This window comes from Homo sapiens, chromosome 2 (assembly GCF_000001405.40).
Source record: "Homo sapiens chromosome 2, GRCh38.p14 Primary Assembly".
In the NCBI taxonomy this organism is placed as follows: Eukaryota; Metazoa; Chordata; class Mammalia; order Primates; family Hominidae; genus Homo; species Homo sapiens.
In genome coordinates, this window is record NC_000002.12 from 153,010,283 (window position 1) to 153,031,173 (window position 20,891).

Below are 20,891 nucleotides of genomic sequence, written 5' to 3' on the forward strand. Positions count from 1 at the left end.
ATAAAATGAGTTAGGGAGGATTCCCTCTTTTTCTATTGATTGGAATAGTTTCAGAAGGAATGGTACCAGTTCCTCCTTGTACCTCTGGTAGAATTCGGCTGTGAATCCTTCTGGTCCTGGACTCTTTTTGGTTGGTAAACTATTGATTATTGCCACAATTTCAGAGCCTGTTATTGGTCTATTCAGAGATTCAACTTCTTCCTGGTTTAGTCTTGGGAGAGTGTATGTGTCGAGGAATTTATCCATTTCTTCTAGATTTTCTAGTTTATTTGCGTAGAGGTGTTTGTAGTATTCTCTGATGGTAGTTTGTATTTCTGTGGGATCGGTGGTGATATCCCCTTTATCATTTTTTATTGTGTCTATTTGATTCTTCTCTCTTTTTTTCTTTATTAGTCTTGCTAGCGGTCTATCAATTTTGTTGATCCTTTCAAAAAACTAGCTCCTGGATTCATTGATTTTTTGAAGGGTTTTTTGTGTCTCTATTTCCTTCAGTTCTGCTCTGATTTTAGTTATTTCTTGCCTTCTGCTAGCTTTTGAATGTGTTTGCTCTTGCTTTTCTAGTTCTTTTAATTGTGATGTTAGGGTGTCAATTTTGGATCTTTCCTGCTTTCTCTTGTAGGCATTTAGTGCTATAAATTTCCCTCTACACACTGCTTTGAATGCGTCCCAGAGATTCTGGTATGTGGTGTCTTTGTTCTCGTTGGTTTCAAAAAACATCTTTATTTCTGCCTTCATTTCGTTATGTACCCAGTCGTCATTCAGGAGCAGGTTGTTCAGTTTCCATGTAGTTGAGCGGCTTTGAGTAAGATTCTTAATCCTGAGTTCTAGTTTGATTGCACTGTGGTCTGAGAGATAGTTTGTTATAATTTCTGTTCTTTTACATTTGCTGAGGAGAGCTTTACTTCCAACTATGTGGTCAATTTTGGAATAGGTGTGGTGTGGTGCTGAAAAAAATGTATATTCTGTTGATTTGGGGTGGAGAGTTCTGTAGATGTCTATTAGGTCTGCTTGGTGCAGAGCTGAGTTCAATTCCTGGGTATCCTTGTTGACTTTCTGTCTCGTTGATCTGTCTAATGTTGACAGTGGGGTGTTAAAGTCTCCCATTATTAATGTGTGGGAGTCTAAGTCTCTTTGTAGGTCACTGAGGACTTGCTTTATGAATCTGGGTGCTCCTGTATTGGGTGCATAAATATTTAGGATAGTTAGCTCCTCTTGTTGAATTGATCCCTTTACCATTATGTAATGGCCTTCTTTGTCTCTTTTGATCTTTGTTGGTTTGAAGTCTGTTTTATCAGAGACTAGGATTGCAACCCCTGCCTTTTTTTGTTTTCCATTGGCTTGGTAGATCTTCCTCCATCCTTTTATTTTGAGCCTATGTGTGTCTCTGCACGTGAGATGGGTTTCCTGAATACAGCACACTGATGGGTCTTGACTCTTTATCCAACTTGCCAGTCTGTGTCTTTTAATTGCAGAATTTAGTCCATTTATATTTAAAGTTAATATTGTTATGTGTGAATTTGATCCTGTCATTATGATGTTAGCTGGTGATTTTGCTCATTAGTTGATGCAGTTTCTTCCTAGTCTCGATGGTCTTTACATTTTGGCATGATTTTGCAGCGGCTGGTACCGGTTGTTCCTTTCCATGTTTAGCGCTTCCTTCAGGAGCTCTTTTAGGGCAGGCCTGGTGGTGACAAAATCTCTCAGCATTTGCTTGTCTGTGAAGTATTTTATTTCTCCTTCACTTATGAAGCTTAGTTTGGCTGGATATGAAATTCTGGGTTGAAAATTCTTTTCTTTAAGAATGTTGAATATTGGCTCCCACTCTCTTCTGGCTTGTAGGGTTTCTGCCGAGAGATCCGCTGTTAGTCTGATGGGCTTTCCTTTGAGGGTAACCCGACCTTTCTCTCTGGCTGCCCTTAACATTTTTTCCTTCATTTCAACTTTGGTGAATCTGACAATTATGTGTCTTGGAGTTGCTCTTCTCGAGGAGTATCTTTGTGGTGTTCTCTGTATTTCCTGAATCTGAACGTTGGCCTGCCTTGCTAGATTGGGGAAGTTCTCCTGGATAATATCCTGCAGAGTGTTTTCCAACTTGGTTCCATTCTCCACATCACTTTCAGGTACACCAATCAGACGTAGATTTGGTCTTTTCACATAGTCCCATATTTCTTGGAGGCTTTGCTCATTTCTTTTTATTCTTTTTTCTCTAAACTTCCCTTCTCGCTTCATTTCATTCATTTCATCTTCCATTGCTGATACCCTTTCTTCCAGTTGATCGCATTGGCTCCTGAGGCTTCTGCATTCTTCACGTAGTTCTCGAGCCTTGGTTTTCAGCTCCATCAGCTCCTTTAAGCACTTCTCTGTATTGGTTATTCTAGTTATACATTCGTCTAAATTTTTTTCAAAGTTTTCAACTTCTTTGCCTTTGGTTTGAATGTCCTCCCGTAGCTCAGAGTAATTTGATCGTCTGAAGCCTTCTTCTGTCAGCTCGTCAAAATCATTCTCCATCCAGCTTTGTTCTGTTGCTGGTGAGGAACTGCGTTCCTTTGGAGGAGGAGAGGCGCTCTGCGTTTTAGAGTTTCCAGTTTTTCTGTTCTGTTTTTTCCCCATCTTTGTGGTTTTATCTACTTTTGGTCTTTGATGATGGTGATGTACAGATGGGTTTTCGGTGTAGATGTCCTTTCTGGTTGTTAGTTTTCCTTCTAACAGACAGGACCCTCAGCTGCAGGTCTGTTGGAATACCCTGCCGTGTGAGGTGTCAGTGTGCCCCTGCTGGGGGGTGCCTCCCGGTTAGGCTGCTCGGGGGTCAGGGGTCAGGGACCCACTTGAGGAGGCAGTCTGCCCGTTCTCAGATCTCCAGCTGCGTGCTGGGAGAACCACTGCTCTCTTCAAAGCTGTCAGACAGGGACACTTAAGTCTGCAGAGGTTACTGCTGTCTTTTTGTTTGTCTGTGCCCTGCCCCCAGAGGTGGAGCCTACAGAGGCAGGCAGGCCTCCTTGAGCTGTGGTGGGCTCCACCCAGTTCGAGCTTCCCAGCTGCTTTGTTTACCTAAGCAAGCCTGGGCAATGGCGGGTGCCCCTCCCCGAGCCTCGTTGCTGCCTTGCAGTTTGATCTCAGACTGCTGTGCTAGCAATCAGCAAGATTCCGTGGGCGTAGGACCCTCTGAGCCAGGTGTGGGATATAGTCTCGTGGTGCGCCGTTTCTTAAGCCGGTCTGAAAAGCGCAATATTCGGGTGGGAGTGACCCGATTTTCCAGGTGCGTCCGTCACCCCTTTCTTTGGCTCGGAAAGGGAACTCCCTGACCCCTTGCGCTTCCCAGGTGAGGCAATGCCTCGCCCTGCTTCGGCTCGCGCACGGTGCGCACACACACTGGCCTGCGCCCGCTGTCTGGCACTCCCTAGTGAGATGAACCCGGTACCTCAGATGGAAATGCAGAAATCACCCATCTTCTGCGTCGCTCACGCTGGGAGCTGTAGACCGGAGCTGTTCCTATTCGGCCATCTTGGCTCCTCCCGCCCTATAGTTTTTATAGCTAATAAAAATGGTAACTTTTGGGGCTGGTGTGGTGGCTCATGCCTGTAATCCCAGCGCTTTGGGAGGCTGAGGTGGGGGGATCTCTTTAACCCAGGAGTTTGAGACCAACTTGGGAAACATAGTGAGACCCTGTATCTACAAAAAAATTTAAAAAATTAGCCATGTGTGGCCGGGCGTGGTGGCTCATGCCTGTAATCCCAGCACTTTGGGAGGTGGAGGCGGGTGGATCACGAGGTCAAAAGATGGAGACCATCCTGGCCAACATGGTGAAACCCCGTTTCTACTAAAAATACAAAAAAATTAGCCAGGTGTGGTGGCAGGTGCCTATAGTCTCAGCTACTCGGGAGGCTAAAGCAGGAGAATCACTTGAACGTGGGAGGTGGAGGTTGCAGTGAGCCGAGATTGCGCCATTGCACTCCAACCTGGCGATGGAGCAAGACTCCGTCTCAAAAATAAAAAATAAAAAAAAATAAAAAAAAATAGCCAGGCGTCGGGGTGCACACCTGCAGTCACAGCTACTTGGGAAGCTGAGGTGGAAGGATTGTTTTAGCCCAGGAGGTTGAGGCTGCAATGAGCCAAGATTGTGCCATTGCTCGTCAGCCTGGGTGACAGAGAACCTGTCTCAAAAAAAAGGGGGAACTTTTGAAAATCGTATTTTAAAATATTCTTTTACTCATAAGTAGACATTGATTTTCATTATTAATCTTATTTTTTAAAAGTTGGCTGAACTCTCTTATTAGTTTTAATATTCTGCAGATTTTCTAGAAGAAAAATTGTGAAATTTTTTTTCTTCCTTTTTGTCCTTACACCTTTTTTTCTTTCTCATTATTTTAGCTAGGCATCTGGTACAATGTTGAATATAAGAGAACTGTCTTAGTCCTTCATTTAGATGATGTAGCCTAGCTTGTTTTCTTAAGCATCACCACCATTCCTAGGTTGTTGGGCCTGTTCAAAGAAGCAAGTAAAACTGGGAATAAGTATTAATGATCCCCTCTCCATCTTTCACTCAGGGCAGTCTCATGTTAGTAAGGGATAGGTGGAATACTAGACACAAGAGACTGCCACAAGTGTTACTATTTCAATTCAGCTTTGCAAAGAGTAAGTGTTCAGGAGCCAAACATGAAACAATGCTAACAAGCAGAGAAGGTAAGGAAATTTGAATTTGCTTAAATTGGGAGTTTCCATACATGTGAGAGAAATAAGAGGTTTGCTCAGGGCCAAAAAATCCCATGCATGGGGATATTATTATTTTGTTACTGTCTTTATATTTCCTTCTTTTTTTTTTAGACAGGGTCTTGCTCTATTGCCTGCTGTGGAGTACAGTGGTATAATCATACCTCACTTCAGCCTTGACCTCCTTGGCTCAAGTGATCCTCCACTTCAGCTTCTGGAGTAGCTGAGACTACATGCATGTGCCACCATGCCTGGTTAATTAAGAAAATTTTTTATAGAGATGGGGTCACACTATGTTGCCCAGGCCAGTCTTGAACTCCTGGGGTCAAGTGATACTCCTGCCTTGGCCTCCCAAAGTGCTGGGATGACAGGCACAAGCCACTGCACATGGCCATTGTCTTTATATTTCAATGTTTATTTAGATTTACCGAAATATTTTCTCTCTTTTTTTTTTTTTTTTGCCAGCTATTGCTTTTTGTACACTACTCTTCTCTTCTGTGGTTAGCTTTTTCTTCATGACACATATCCTTTCATAATTTTTTCAATAACAGTCACTGGTGGTAAACTATCTCACTCTTTGTTTTTCTGAAAATATATTTATTTTTTCCTTTAGTCCTCCATGCTATTTTAGCTGGGTTTCTAATTTTGATTGACTGTTTTCCTCCAATACTTTGAATGAGTAATATATTTGGCCTCTTACTATTTATCAAGAGTTTCTGGTTAGTCTAATTATTTTACTTTGAGGATTTTTTTCTCTTTGGTTTCTTTTAATATTTTCTTTTTGCCTTAGATAATTTTTAATTTTACTTTGATGTGTTTAGGTAGAGATTTATTCTCTCTCTGTGAGTCTTCTGCTTTTTTCAATTGAGTTTCTTTTAGTCATTTACTCTTGCTTCTCCCCAGTCTTTATTCTCTTTCACTGGAACTCATATCAGTTTTATGTTGAACCTTTGCATTCCAAACTCCTTATCTCTTAATTGTTTTTCTGTGTTTTTCATTTCCTTTTTATTAGTGCTATATTCTGAGTAATTTCCTCATATGTTTCCTTCACTTTACCATTTCTTCCTCTAGCTGTGTCTAGCCATTGTTTGACTTGTCAAAATTTTAACCTCAATATTATATTTTAAAATCTATATTTTTTATTCTGGTGCCTTATTCTCTTATTACATTTTTCATTGCTTCTCTTAAATGCTTTAAAAAATTTTTATCTTTGGATTTATCTAGTATCTCAGGTTCTTTGATTCCTAATTGTCCTGTTTGTTCTGTCTGATTACTCTTTATTATGGTGCATTCTTCCTTTGAATAGTTCATGAATTTTGATTACAAGCTCATTTTCAGTGTATGCATTCATTCTGTGAGCATCCCCTATAGCCTGAATAGAAATAGTGTCTCTGCAGAGTAATTTTGGGTTTGTTTTTGCCAAAGTCTAGATTCATCAGTTTTTATGTTAAATCCTGGGTTTTGGATTTTAACACTATGTGGATGGCATAAATTTGGGCTTCTTACCCAAGTACAGGTGTAACCATGGTGTTTTACCTTCCATGGGATTCTTTTTATTGCCACTGAGTTATAGGCACACAGTAAGTTTTCTTGCTGCTTTCTGGGTTGGTAGGTAAAACGATTCTACTGTCATTTTCATGGAGCAGTGTCAGTTCACAGTTTCCTGCTTTGCAAGAAATTCACTTTCAACTCTTTGCCTTATACAGGACCAAGGCACATTTTTAAACCACATTTGTTATTTGAAGCCCTATCCCTGCATCCCTAAGACTTATATCTAGGAACTGTATCCATTGGACACTTGACCTTTATCCATTGGCTCTTGCATTTAACACTGTAGTAGTCCATTTTCATGCTGCTGATAAAGACATACCAGAGACTGGGCAATTTACAAAAGAAGAGGTTTATTAGACTTACAGTTCCACATGGCTGGGGAGGCCTCACAATCATCATGAAAGGCAAAGAGGAGCAAGTCATATTTTATGTGGATGGCAGCAAGCAAAAAGAGAGAGCTTGTGCAGATAACTCACTTTATTTATTTATTTTTTTTTGGTAGATGAAGTCTTGCTCTGTTGCCCAGGCTAGAGTGCAGTGGTGTGATCTCAGCTCACTGCAACCTCCGCCTCCTGGGTTCAAGTGATTCTCCTGCTTCAGCCTCCCAAGTAGCTGGGATTACAGGTGCCCACCACCACGCCTGGCTAATTTTTGTATTTTTAGTAGAGACGGAGTTTCACCGTGTTAGCCAAGATGGTCTCGATCTCCTGACCTCATGATCCACCCACCTCAGCCTCCCATAGTGCTGGGATTACAGGCATGAGCCACCATGCCTGGCTGAAACTCCCATTTTTAAAACCATCAGATCTCATGAGACTCATTCACTATCATAAGAACAACATGGGAAAGACCTGCCCCATGATTCAGTAATCTCCCACTGGGTCTCTCTCACAACACATGGGAATTATGGTAGATACAAGATGAGATTTGGGTGGGGACACAGAGCCAAAACATACTCCCAAATCTCATATCTTCACATTTCACAATGAGTCATGCCTTCCCAACAGTCCCCCAAAGTCTCAACTCATGTCAGCATTAACTCAAAGTCCACAATCCAAAGTCTCATCCAAGACAAGGCAATTCCCTTCCACCTATGAGCCTGTAAAATCAAAAGAAAGTTAGTTACTTCCTGGATACAATGGTGGTACAGGCATTGGGTAAATATAGTCATTTCAAATTAGAGAAATTGGCCTAAACAAAGGGGCTACAGGCCCCACACAAATCTGAAATCCAGCAAGGCAGTCAACTCTTAAAGCTCCAAAATGATCTCCTTTGACTCCATGACTCACATCCAGGTCAGGCTGATGCAAGACGTAGGTTCCCATAGTCTTGTGCAGCTTTGCCCCTGTAGCTTTGCAGGGTACAGCCTCCCTGCTGGCTGCCTTCATGGGCTGGTGTTGAGTGTCTGTGACTTTTCCAGGTGCATGGTGCAAGCTGTCATTGGATCTACCATTCTGGGGTCTGGAGGATAGTGGCCCTCTTCTTATGGCTCCACTAGGCAGTGCCCCAGTAGGGACTCCGTGTGGGAGCTCCCACCCCACATTTCCCTTCTGCACTGCCCTAGCAGAGGTTCTCCATGAGGACCCCACTTCTACAGCAAACTTCTGCCTGGACATCCAGGCATTTCCATACACCTTCTGAAATCTAGGCAGAGGTTCCAAACCTCAAATCTTGACTTCTGTGCACTCGCAGGCTCAGCACCACATGGAAACTGCCAAAGCTTGAGGCTTGCACCCTCTGATGCCGTAGCCTGAGCTCTACATTGGTCCCTTTCAGCCACAGCTGGAGTGGCTGGGATGCAGGGCACCAAGTCCCTAGGCTGCACATAGCACAAGGCCCGTGGCCCAGCCTACAAAACCACTTTTTCCTCCTAGACCTCTGGTCCTGTGATGGGAGGGGCTGCTGCAAAGGTTTCTGATATGCCCTGGAGACCTTTTCCCCATTGTCTTGATGGTTAACATTCAGCTCCTTATTACTTGTGCAAATTTCTGCAGCCAGCTTGAATTTCTCCTCAAAAAAATGGGATTTTCTTTTCTATTGCATTATCAGGCTGCAGATTTTCCAAACTTTTATTCTCTGTTTCACTTTTGAAACTGAATGCCTATAACAGTACCCAAGTCACCTCTTGAATGCTTTGCTTCTTATAAATTTCTCCCACCAGACACCTTAAATCGTCTCTCTCAAGTTCAAAGTTCCACAAATCTCTAGGGTGGGGTAAAATGCCACCAGTGTCTTTGCTAAAATGTAACAAGAGTCACCTTTGCTCCAGTTCCCAACAAGTTTCTCATCTCCATCGGAGACCATCTCAGTCTGGACCTTATTGTTCTTATCACTATCAGCATTTTTTCAAAGCCATTCAACAAGTCTCTAGGAAGTTCCAAACTTTCCCACATTTTCCTGTTTTTTTCTAAGTCCTTCAAACTGTTCCACCCTTTTCCTGTTACCTAGTTCCACAGTCACTTCCACAGTTTTGGGTATTTTTTCAGCAATGCCCTACTCTACTGGTACAAATTTACTGTATTAGTCTGTTTTCACACTGCTGATAAAGACATACCTGAGACTGGGCATTTTACAAAAGAAAGAGGTTTATTGAACTCACAGTTCCATGTGGCTGGGGAGCCTCACAATTATAGTGGAGGGTGAAAGGCACATGTTACATGACAGTAAACAAGAGGGAGAGCTTGTGCAGGGAGACTCCCATTTTTAAAACCATCAGATCTTGTGAGATTCATTCACTATCATGAGAACAGCATGGGAAAGATCCACCCCCATGATTCAATCATTTTCCATCGAGTCCCTTCCACAACACATGGGGATAATGGGAGCTACCAGATGAGATTTGGGTGGGGACACAGAGCCAAACCATATGAAACACTATGACTGTGAGTTTTCTAACATGTTTTCTTATACCCAGAATTTTAAAAAATCCTTTTCTGTTCATCTTTATATATGAAAAATGAGTTATACTTTCTTGATTATATTTTTATAGTGAAATGGGGGTTTACATCAGTCTTCTAGGTTGTTTGTAGAGTATTATTTTCCCACTGAACTATTTAGAATATTAAAATGTAAAAAACACAACTTTGTTATGCAATGTTAAGTAGGCTTACAGGTGGCTTTTTTGTTGATCAGTAATGCACTTCAAAAAGAAAAAATAACCAAGTTCCTATTGCTTATCAAATATTTAAATTTCTTTAAAAAGTAGAATATTATAGCTCATATTGGGGGAGTGAGGGAGGTCTGAAAGGGGTTCCCAGACATAGCAGTGCAGATAATTTTTTTTATAAAGCACATATTACTTAAACATTAAACAGGCTTTTGAAAAAGTGAGTTATTTAAACATTTTGACATAAGTTACTGTTTTCTGAGAAATTTGTCTTCTAAAAGAGATATATTTCTACAACAACAAAATGTGACTCCAAGAAGTAATGCAATCATATTGAATAGTATCCAGAACTAGTCTAATATATGCAGTCTATATATATCTGGTATGTTAGTTGAGGAGAACTCTCCAAAATATATTTCTATTGATAATATCCTCTTCTCCTAACTGACCTATAATAAATACAGATTGGGAAGAATATTTCTAGGAAACCAGTATGAAAATGAAGTCATTGCCGTTCTTATCTGGGTTCCTTCAGAGAGCAGAGCCTAAGTCAAAAGTCTATGTATAAGTATTTTATTGGATAATAATTCCAGGGAGTAGGAGTGAAGGATAGAGGAATGAAGCAGAATAGAAAAGAGAGCAATATAAGACTATGAGTTGCTTACTGCAATGAGAGGCTGAACGTGCAGCTGAGTAGCCATGCAAAATGTATTCCAGACCATATGCTTGTATGCTAAGGGTGAGGAGATGAGGGGAGAATGGGAGAGGCATTGATGTGTTGGATTCTGTTCTCCTTTGGCCAACTTTGTGTCATGAGGAATTACATTCAAGGCTGTGTCTGTGTAAAGTATGAGTGCTTGTATTTCCATAGAGAAACTTAGGCCTGGAGAAAAGAGGCATGTAGAGTGGGATGGAGGTAAGACGCTGTGAAGCTGGGAAGAGCTCATGAAGAATTTGTTGCACTGGTGACTAGAATGAGAGACAGGTGAAACCAAGAAGACTTGTAAGAATGTATCAGATATGAAAAAGTCTGAGTTTTGTGCAGTTTAGTTAATTTTCTTATTATTATATCATGATATGTCCATGATTTTTACCTTGGACACTTCAGGTAAGATTCTGAATGAAGAATATACAGGGTGGAACATTTTGGCACTGGGAAACATGACAAAGACAAATTATTGTGATAGACTGAAGGCACAGGTCAGGTACACATATTATGTGTTTGGAGAACGTCATCTATTCTAGACATTTCTATTCTAGAAACATTAGAGAAGGCAGAGTTGGAGATAAGTATAGGGGTCTGCATCCTGTGGGTAAGCAAGGGAGGAGCTCCAAATGCCCATCAATCATACGCAGACTTGTTATATTGGAGTACATAGGTATATAGGGGAAAAATATTCCACCTCCAAGAGTTTAGCCCAACAACAGCTAGAGTGGCTAACACTTCCTCATTTCTTTCCATCAAAGTCTTATCTTTCCAAAAATTTACATCTTCTAGTAAGTATAGAGCATTCATTTTATAACCCATCCCTTGCCTGTTATTTTCTCCCACCTAGATAAGGGGTTGGGGGGAGCTCCAAGTACAAATGGTCCTCAACTTACAATGGGTTGACTTAAGAATATTTCAACTTTACAATGGTGTGAAAGCAATATGCATTTAGTAGAAATCATACTTCGAATTTTGAATTTTGGTATTTTCCCATGCTAGCGATATGTGGTAGGAAACTCTCTTAAGATACCAGGCAGTAGCAGTGAGTTGCAGCTCCTAGTCAGCTATGTGACAACAAGGGTAGACAACTAATACTCTGTAGAGTACTGTTACCAGTGGTTTTGGAATATTGTGTTTTGTGTTATCTCATCACATCATGTCTACAAAACACCCATCTGCGTATAGTACTCAAAACCTTATTATAAAATAGTCTTTGTGTTAGATGATTTTTGTCTAGCTGTAAGCTAATATAACTGTTTTGGGCACGTTTAAGGCAGGGTAGTCTAAGCTACGTTGTTTGGTAGGCTGGGTGTATTAAATGCATTTTCGACTAATGATATTTTCAGCTTACCATGGTTATATAACTCCATTGTAAGTCGAGGAGCATCTGTAGTTTGAATTCTTTCCTGTCCTGTAACAATAGGTATGCCATTTCTGATTGAATACAAATACATGCCAATAGCTTCTACAGATTACAAATTTGTGCATATCATTAGCTTATCAAATATCAACCCTAAACATTTGTGCATATCATTAGCTTATCAGATATCAACATTTGGCATATCATTTGTGCATATCATTAGCTTATCAAATATCAACATTAAACATTCATATGCCTGTAAATGAAGCAAGTATTCAAGAATTCCTGAGCTGAACAGTTTAAATTTCCTTAAATCTTCTCTACACTGTGATTTGGGGATAGAGATGTGAGTGGGTAATGAACTGAAAAGGAACAGGGCAGAAAAAGTTAAAATTCACAATTTTGCATAATGTCTGCCTCACTGGAACACATCTAATGTTTGATTTTATGTATTAAAGATGCTTCAATAATTGACTAAATTTTATGGAGTTTTTGTCTGGAGGTTTTGGTAATGATGTACCTTGTACATAGTAGTATCTTAATATTTTTGGATTGAATAAAAGAAGGAATAAATGGATTCAACTTGCACATTGGTTGTTGAACTGGTAAATAAAGAATTTTTAGAGTTTGTTCCTCTGCAGGCATTTAAACTGGGATTGATTATTTACTAATCTTAGGCAACTTTAGTAATGGGAATTGACTAAAGGTAGGAAGATGGCCAGATGAGTGCCTGTCATTCCTTCTGGTCCCATGATTCCAAACAGAATGGATGAAACTGTGATATTCAGTTATAGTTTAGGAGTTTCATTTGAATGTTTTCCCTAAGGAAATCTGACAATTTTTATTCTACCATCTTCCCTAAATGTCATAAATGTGTATGTGACTTCTTTTAAAAAAATTCTTTTATGCTAGTGGATTGTTCAACCTGCTCACACAATGACATTTCTGGGATATTTTCCAATCTTTTCTTCCTCTTAAAATAGACTGAGACCTCATGTTCCATCTTGGAAAGCATTACATTTACTTGTTATTTGGTATGTGAACTATGTATTTTGAATGCTACTGAAAAGCAATTCTCTAAAAGACATATAGCTGTCCTCCAGGTTTTTTCCTGGCTTCAATTCTACGTAAGCTTGCAAGTTTGTGTTTGTAATGTTATCAGTTTCTATGTGTAAAGAAATATGACTTGTTATTGGAACAAAAGAAAGGATAGACAAGATATAGTTAGTAAATATCCTTAGGAGAAAATTCCCAAGGGAATTTCAGGACATCTCTTCTCTTTCACATAAAATTCCTAAAGGTAGGAATTTAAACTGGAAAATTTAGATAATCCTTGGGGCTTCAAAGTAAATGAAGACAGATAGATTTCATAGATAAAGAAAAATGCAAAAGTATTTGCTATTGTACTATCAAGTGATAAGTTAAACAGCTGTCAAAGCCTCTAATAAAAAAGATACAAATCATATAGGCTTTCATTATAAAAATATTATACCTGGGAGGCAGAGCTTGCAGTGAGCCAAAATCACGCCACTGCACTCCAGCCTGGGCAGCAGAGTGAGACTCCGTCTCAAAAAAAAAAAAATTATAAAGTTAACATTTTAAACTCTGTAAAATATATGTATCCATAAAATGCAACACTCAAAGTGAACAGAAATTCAATGTAAGGAAGAAAAATCAAGTATGGTCTGTATACAAAAATAGAAAATGAGTTTCTTTAGATTCTCCACATGATAAAAACAAATAATTTTCCCAAAGGGAATAGACATCTTATCAGTCTGCAAGTGTTTCTCAAAATGAAGTTTAAGGATCACCTGTGTTAATGTTACCTGGAATGCTGGCAAAAATGCATATTCCTTGGTTCCACCTCAGACCTAAAGAATCACATGCTCCAGGGTGAAGGTGTCCAAACTTGAATTATTGACATGGCTTTGAGGTGATTCTGATGAACATTAAAGTATGAGAACCTGGTGCAACATTGTCTAATTTCAGATCACCCAGAAAACAAGGAAATAATAAAATCCCATTGGAAATCCAAAACCTATTTTCCTCAAATAAAAGCAGTCGTATCAAATTGCTTTCTCATTATCAGTTTACCAATAACATAGTAAAAACATAAAGGTAACTTGTTGATAAGAATATTTAAAAGGGTTTTATTTTCATTCTGGAAAGATTGTCTTCTAGGTAGAAATAAATCTGAATGAGATTGGTTTGATACTTTAGGGCCTAAGACTGACTTGAATGAAAACATCTGGATACAGTGGTTAGCCCACTGATTCAGGAATTATATATACCCTGAACAATTTTCCATGTTCAAAATGCCTGAAATGATTTAGGAAGTGATATTCCTAATGCTAACACCTTACTTAGGAAAACACTCTCAGATGAATATCGACCAAAAATAAAAGACCCTACCACTTTGCAAGGCTTATATATCATGAAAGCGGAAAAGAAACTAGTATTTTTTGAGAATTTACTATGCATAAAGAATTTATATACATAATCTTAATTCTTTCTACAGGCTTGTATCAGAGGTGTTACTATCCCCAATTTACCACCAAGGGAACTCAGATTCAAAGAGGATAAGTGTATTGTAAAAGAATCATATAGCTGATAAACGGCAGAGGCAAGGCTTAAACATAATACCTGTCTTAAATGGGCCCTTAATTCTTCCCAGGAATTGATGTTGTTTGAGAGTATCACTCTTCCACTTGTCATGAATACTATTTTATATCTTTTCTCTATAAAACTCTCGTTGAAAATCTTGTCTCATAAATCTGTGACCCAGTTGTGACAAAGCCTCTCTCGGTCATCCTGTTTTTACCCCAGTGCCTGTGGCTGTCTTCCTGCTGTCCCGGTAACCACTGTCATCTGACCTAAAACCACGGACTGAGGTGAGCCAGTTCTAGTCATTCCCCTAAGTTTCCTCCGTCTCCCGTGTTCCTCAGGTCAAATATGCACTGAAAGGGTCTCAGAAAGGCCATATTATGCTGGAGGACAGAAATCATTTTATATGACTTAGTCATGTTTTTGAGTCACCAAAGGAAGGGCCGGGGACCCTCAGACCTTCTAAAAGAAGGGGTCTCAAGTGGATATTCTCTCTCTCAGGTCTCTCTCTTTCTCTCTCCAGCTTCCATCACTCCCCATTTCTCTCAGTTTTGGAGCTCTTTCTTTTAAATCCTACTCAGGTCTACATACTCTGCCCCAGAAAATTCCACTTGTCATCGCAAGAGCCACCCCGCTCTTTCTTCCCTCTTGTCTTATACACTAGAATGTTTCAGGCCATGGCCAGTTGCTAATGAACTTCCTAGTTTGCATAGTTGTTGCTGACTCGGGCCATGGAGGATGTCCTGTGAGTGCAGACCCGTGTGGCTACTCAAGTTCCAGGTTAGTCTTCCCACTAGCCACAGTGGCTGATTTTCTCATTGTTAAGAAACAAGTATATGTTACCAACACAAGCTTTTAAACAGCCCAGAGAACATGCAGTCTAGTTCATACAAGGAGGGATCTTCCTCCCATCAGCATAGCTTTAATCTTGCCACTGGCAAAAAAGAAACTCTCCACAGTAATTGAAAAAAAACCTTTTTTTTTTTTTTTTTTGCCAGCCAAGAAAGGTGGGTGCCAATGTCTATTAGATTTCATAAAAAATTATTTCAGTGCTTTCTGCCTCTGTCATCTATGGCACAACCCCAAAAGGAGATTTTTGTTCACCTGGTGGAAAGGGCTTTGCCTTCTTATTAGGGTTGTTGAAAATATTCTTCTTTTTCTACATTTCTCCTTCTGCTGTAATGTAGGAATTCCTCCCATCAAAGAGTAGGCCCTTCATGTGCATTCTGGATTCCAACCCTCATTTTCAGGTCCTTGCTTCATAATTTACCACCTATCTTTCTCTCCTGTGTTTATGACTTCTCTTTCTCTACTGGACCATTCTTTCCAATACTCAAATATTATCTAGTACTGCCATGTTAAAAACAGGCTTCCTTGACCCCACTTCTCTCTATATCTGCTGGTCTACCTTTCTTCTCCCCTTTCTTGAAAAAATTGTCCCCACTATCATGCTACTTTGGGTCCCTATCTATTTTCTTTATAGCACTTATCATCATCTGTAATTACATATTTATTTGTTTATTGTATTTCTCTATTAGACTACAAGCCGCATGCAAGCAATGATTATTTGTATTTATTTAGACACCTAGCAAAGGTACACAATACCTTTTTGATAAATATTTGTTATGTGAATAGAACATTCTAAATCTAGTGTTCTTCCCACTGAAGAGTGATAGGGATGGAGGAATTGTGATGCATACGATTTGTTGACTTATGGTCATCATCTGTTTCATTGGTTTTATTTTTAAAAACTTTATATTTTAGAGAAGTTTTAAGTTAAAAATAAATTAAGCAGAAAATACAGAGTTCCCACGTAACCCCTCCCACATACATACAGCCTCCCCATCATCAACATCTCTCAGCAGCGCACCAGAGTGGTATTTGTTAGAATCGATGAACCAACACTGACACATCACTATCTACCCAAATTCATATTTTACATTAGGGTTCACTCTGTGTTGCATATTCTGTAGGTTTTAACAGATGTATAATAACATGTAGCCACCATTATGGTATTATACAGAATAGTTTCACTGCCTTAAATAGCCCCTTTGCTCTATCTATTTATCCCTCCCTCCCCCAAACCCTTGTCAACCACTGATCTTTCTTCTGTTTCCACGCTTTTGCCTTTTCCAGAATGTCACATCATTGGAATCATACAGGGTTTAGCCTTTTCAGACTGGCCCCTTTCACTTAGCAATATGCATTTAAAGTTCTTCCATTTTTTGAGTGTGGCTTGATAGCTCCTTTATTTTCAGTGCTGAATAATATTCCATTGTCTGAATGTACTGCAGTTTATTTACCCATTCACCTTCTGAAGGCCATCTTAGTTGCTTCCAAGCTTTGGCAGTTATGAATAAAACTGCTATAAACATTTGTGCGTAGGTTTTCATGTGGACATAAGTTTTCAACTAATGTGGGTAAATACCAAGGAGTGTGATTGCTGGATCATATGGTAGGAGTATGTTTAGTTTTGTAAGAATCTGCCAAACTCTCTTCCAAAGTGGCTGTACCATTTTGCATTCCCACCAGCAATGAATAAGAGCTCCTTTTGCTCCTGTTTCCAGCATTTAGTGTTGTCAGTGTTTTGGATTTTAGCCATCCTAATAGACATGTAATAGTATCTCATTTTAATTTGCAATTCCCTAATGTCATATCATATTGGGAATCTTTCTCTATGATTACTTGACATTTGTATATTTTGTTTGGTGAGGTGTCTATATATTTGCCCATATTTAAATCAGGTTGTTTGTTTTCTTCTTCTTAAGTTTTAAGAGTTCTATATATATTTTGAATAACAGTCCTTTATCAGGTATGTCTTTTGCAAATATGTCCTCCCAGTCTGTGTCTTGTTTTCTCATTCTCTTGATCCTTTCACATTTTACCCTGTCTCTGAAACTTTTTGGCACCCACTCTTCTTCTGTTATTTCTCTTATTATAGAAGAAAATTGTCTGAGAAATTCACACTAAGATATAAGTGCCTCATTTTATTTATTTCTCAAAAGAGGACTGAAGGGAAATGACAGGGCTTAACATTAGGAACTAAACTTCTGATGATAGAATTTAAGTTCTCATGATATTGAAGTGAGGTATTTTTTGGAAGATTTTTTTTTTGTAATTATTCTCCCCAAATATTGGTGACTATAATGTATAGATTGAGGGTGTTCAGTCACAGAATTTCAGTTTCCTACCACTGTTTGCTTGACACTTGAGATACTTTAAAGAAAAATAAAAAGGAAATATGACTTTATCAGCTGGTAGTTATCTTAAAGAACTCATCTCAAAATCCCAAGTTCCTAAATATAAATGTATTCAAGAGGGAATCAAGTAACTCCATGGTTGAGTGAATTATATTTGTCAGACTGTTTGCTTGCAATGGAAATGCAAATCAAATTACATTAGGCAAAAAAGGAAGTATGTTGGCTATGTATCTGTGAATGACAAGCAAGGAACTTTTTCTGAATGATGCTATTCAATTACTCAGCCCTGTTTGACTTTATTCACAAACAGGATTTCCCCAAATGGTGGGAAATACAGCTCCTTGTAGCCGCAAACTTGTGTACTTATAGATTACAATCCAAAAAAGAAACCCCCAAATTCTTTACTGTTTATATAGTAAATTTCACTGAAAATTATGATTGTCTGTCTTGGATAATGTGCCCAAGGAGATGAAGAACTTTATTCATTTAGGGGTCTTGTGCCTATCTCTATGGTCTGAGATGCAAGAAGTTCAATTTCACTTGTACTACAAGAATTTAATTAACCCAGGTAAGAGGAAGTTTGTTAAGAAAAGGGTGTGAGAAGCTTAAGACAGCAAAACCAATAGATGTTGGATTTATACATTCCTTATCTGGAATTCATATTATTCATTCCCTATTTTCAGAGGGCTCATCAAAAACAGGTTCTTGCTTTGAACAACAGAACACTTTGAGTGACTCACTGGTCAGATGCTGTAAGGTATTTTTTTATTTTTATTTTTGCTAAAGCTAAAAATACATTAATCAGTTATGTCTGTAGATGTTTTGAAGACCTAATAAAGAATGAAGAAAATATTCATTTGTATATTAAGCAGTTATTATTAGGCCTATATTTCTTTTTTTAGAGACAGGGTCTCACTCTGTCACCCAGGCTGGAATGCAGTGGCATGATTCTACCTCACTGCAATCGAGAACTCCTGGGTTCAAATGATCCTCCTGCCTCAGCCTTCCAAGTAGCTAGTACTACCAGCCACACCACCATACCTGGCTAATTTTTTTTATTTTAATTTTTTTGTAGAGACAGGTCTTGCTATATTGTCCAGGCTGGTTTTGAACTCTTGGCCTCAAGCCATCTTTCTGCCTTGGCCTCCCAAAATGTTGGGATTACAGGCATGAGCCACCCTAACCACCTAGGCTTATATATTTTTTTGCTCTATTTTATAAATAATTATTTTAGAGTAGAACAGGGAAATAAGAAGTGTTCGTTATTTTTGGCATAGTTGTGATGATTCTTGTGCAGTTGGTTTTCTCTGCCTGGCGGTAACCAGGCAACAAGAGTTGTCACAAGAATGAACTGTGAAGACTGAATTTTTAAAAATTAAGTCTTTAAAAAAATCACCTTCCCATAGTTCATATTTTCTATTTCATCCAAATTCTTTTTAATTTAAATCTTAAAATATAGTCAAACCTTCAAGATGGAATGCTATATTTTAATCAGTTTTTATTTAGCTGTTATTTAGACATTTTTAGTCAAACTTTAAACATTTTTAGCTATTCTGTTTTTGCAGTGTTTCTTTGAAAAGCTGGGGAAATAATTTTTGATAATGCTGATGCAGTATAGCACTAAGCCAAAAATTCCGTGTTGGATATTCTTTAGCTAATTGCTAGTTCCGTGACCCTAGGCCAGTTTCAATGTAGAAGTAAAATAATAGAACTAACCTCATAAGACTGTTTGGAGAATTCAGTGAGATTATGCACACAAAACACTTGACATATACCTTGGTACTCAATGAGTGGTTAGTCAATGTTAGTTTATATCAGCTATGTTAATACTTATCTGTTAAGAGATGCAGAAAATTTCTGATTTCAGTAATTATTAGTGTTAACTTCCTGCTTAAGGGGATCACTGCCTGGGGTCGGGAGCTGTCTTTTTAAACATCTGGTTCCAGTGTGAAGGTGAATATTTTACAGTCAACTCTTCCATGAGAACTACAGGTGGGAAATGCAGAAATAATCTTAATTGGATGCTCCAAAAGCCATTAGTGGATATTATTCAGAACCATTCCTTATTTTGAAGTATGATATATATTTAACAGGTAAAAATGTACATTTTAGATTAGAATTATGTAAAACTTTTATGTGTTGTCCAATAATCACTTACAGTTTTATCGTTTTCAATAGTTTTATTCTGTTTTTCTTTGTTTATATGTAGGTTAATTTATATTTTTTACCAGCAATCTTACTTCATTTTCTGCTGCCGAATAACAGGGAACCTCAGGTTGGGTAAAGAAAAATTTAAGTGGCCCATAGTTTTAGTGGCTGGGAAGACCAAGAGCATGGTGCCGGGATCTGGCAAGAGGCTTTGTGTTGCATCCTAACATAGTGGAAGTTCAGGTGAGCACACAAGACAGGGAAAGACAAAATGGGATCCAAAATTATCCTTTCATCAGAGCCCACTACTATGGTAACTAACTCACTCTCAGGATAATGGGATTAATCCACTCATAAGGGCAGATCCCTTATGACCTAAGCACCTCTTAAAGGTTCACCACATAACACTGTTACAATGGCAATTACATTTCAACATGAGTTTTGGAAGGGACATTCAGACAATAGCATCAACTAATCATGAAAATAATTTATCTGTTCCTGTTTTAATTTATAGATTTGATATTTCAAAAAAAGAAACTGCCCATTAATTTCTTGGTGCATGTGCAATACAATGTGAACAAAACATACAAATTTCGGAATTTTAAAAATCTATCTGGAGTTTTCATTTAACTTTGTATTACACTCACCTAAGTAAATTAGAGCCATTAATAATATTTCAACATGTGTACTTATTTTACATCGGAGAATATTTCTTTTCAAATATTTCAGAGCATATATATTTTCTGTAAATGAGCATACAATTAACAAGTATAACTGCATATTGTCTTTATTAACTGCAAGCATTTATTAAGTGTCTTCTGTGTGCAATAAATGGGGCAATACTTTGGAATACTAAGAATGAAAAAACAACAAACAAATGAATGAAAAACTCAGTTGATATTAAGTAATTTAATGGCCAATGCCCTCAGTGATATTTTCACATTGACTTCAAAGTCAGGTTATACATTTGTATATTTTAATAATGCAAAAATTATGTTAAGGGATATTTCAATGATAATGACAACATGATTTAAAAGAATTAAACACTCGCATAGACTTTTCTCCAAAGAAGATATATGAATGGCCAATAAGCCTATTAAAAGATGGCCAGGCATGGTGGCTCATGCCTATAATCCCAGCGCTTTGGGAGGTCAAGGTGGGAGGATTGCTTGGAGACAGGAATTTTAGACCAGCATGGGTAGCATAGTGAGACTTTGTCTCTACCAAAAAAAACCCTAAAAAATTAGCCAGCCAGGCATGATGGTACATGCCTGCTAGTCCTAGCTACTTGGAAAGCTGAGATGGGAGGATCACTTGAGTCCAAGAGTTGGAGATGATAGTGAGCTATGATCACACCACTTTACTCCAGCCTGAGTGACAGAGTAAAACTCTGTCTGAAAAAAAAAAAAAACAAACCTAAAAAACAAGATTTCACCTCACCATCTCACATCAATTAGTAAAACAAACAAACAAAAACCAAGAAAATAATTATTAGTGAGGATATGG

General features: G+C 38.5%; 1 long non-coding RNA gene across 4 annotated transcripts in view; it reads left to right on the top strand.

Moving 5' to 3' along the window:
• LOC105373691 (uncharacterized) overlaps window positions 1-20,891 on the top strand; it is a 79,687-nt gene that overhangs the window by 51,326 nt on the left and 7,470 nt on the right. For 2 of the 4 annotated variants that reach the window (XR_923482.2, XR_923481.1), the window contains exons 2-4: window positions 14,260-14,324; window positions 14,702-14,817; window positions 17,921-18,004. This is a non-coding gene — a long non-coding RNA (uncharacterized LOC105373691). Of the gene's footprint in view, window positions 1-14,259; window positions 14,325-14,701; window positions 14,818-17,920; window positions 19,629-20,891 lie in introns of those variants that run through there. The other 2 variants (XR_007087268.1, XR_007087267.1) reach the window with 1 other exon arrangement.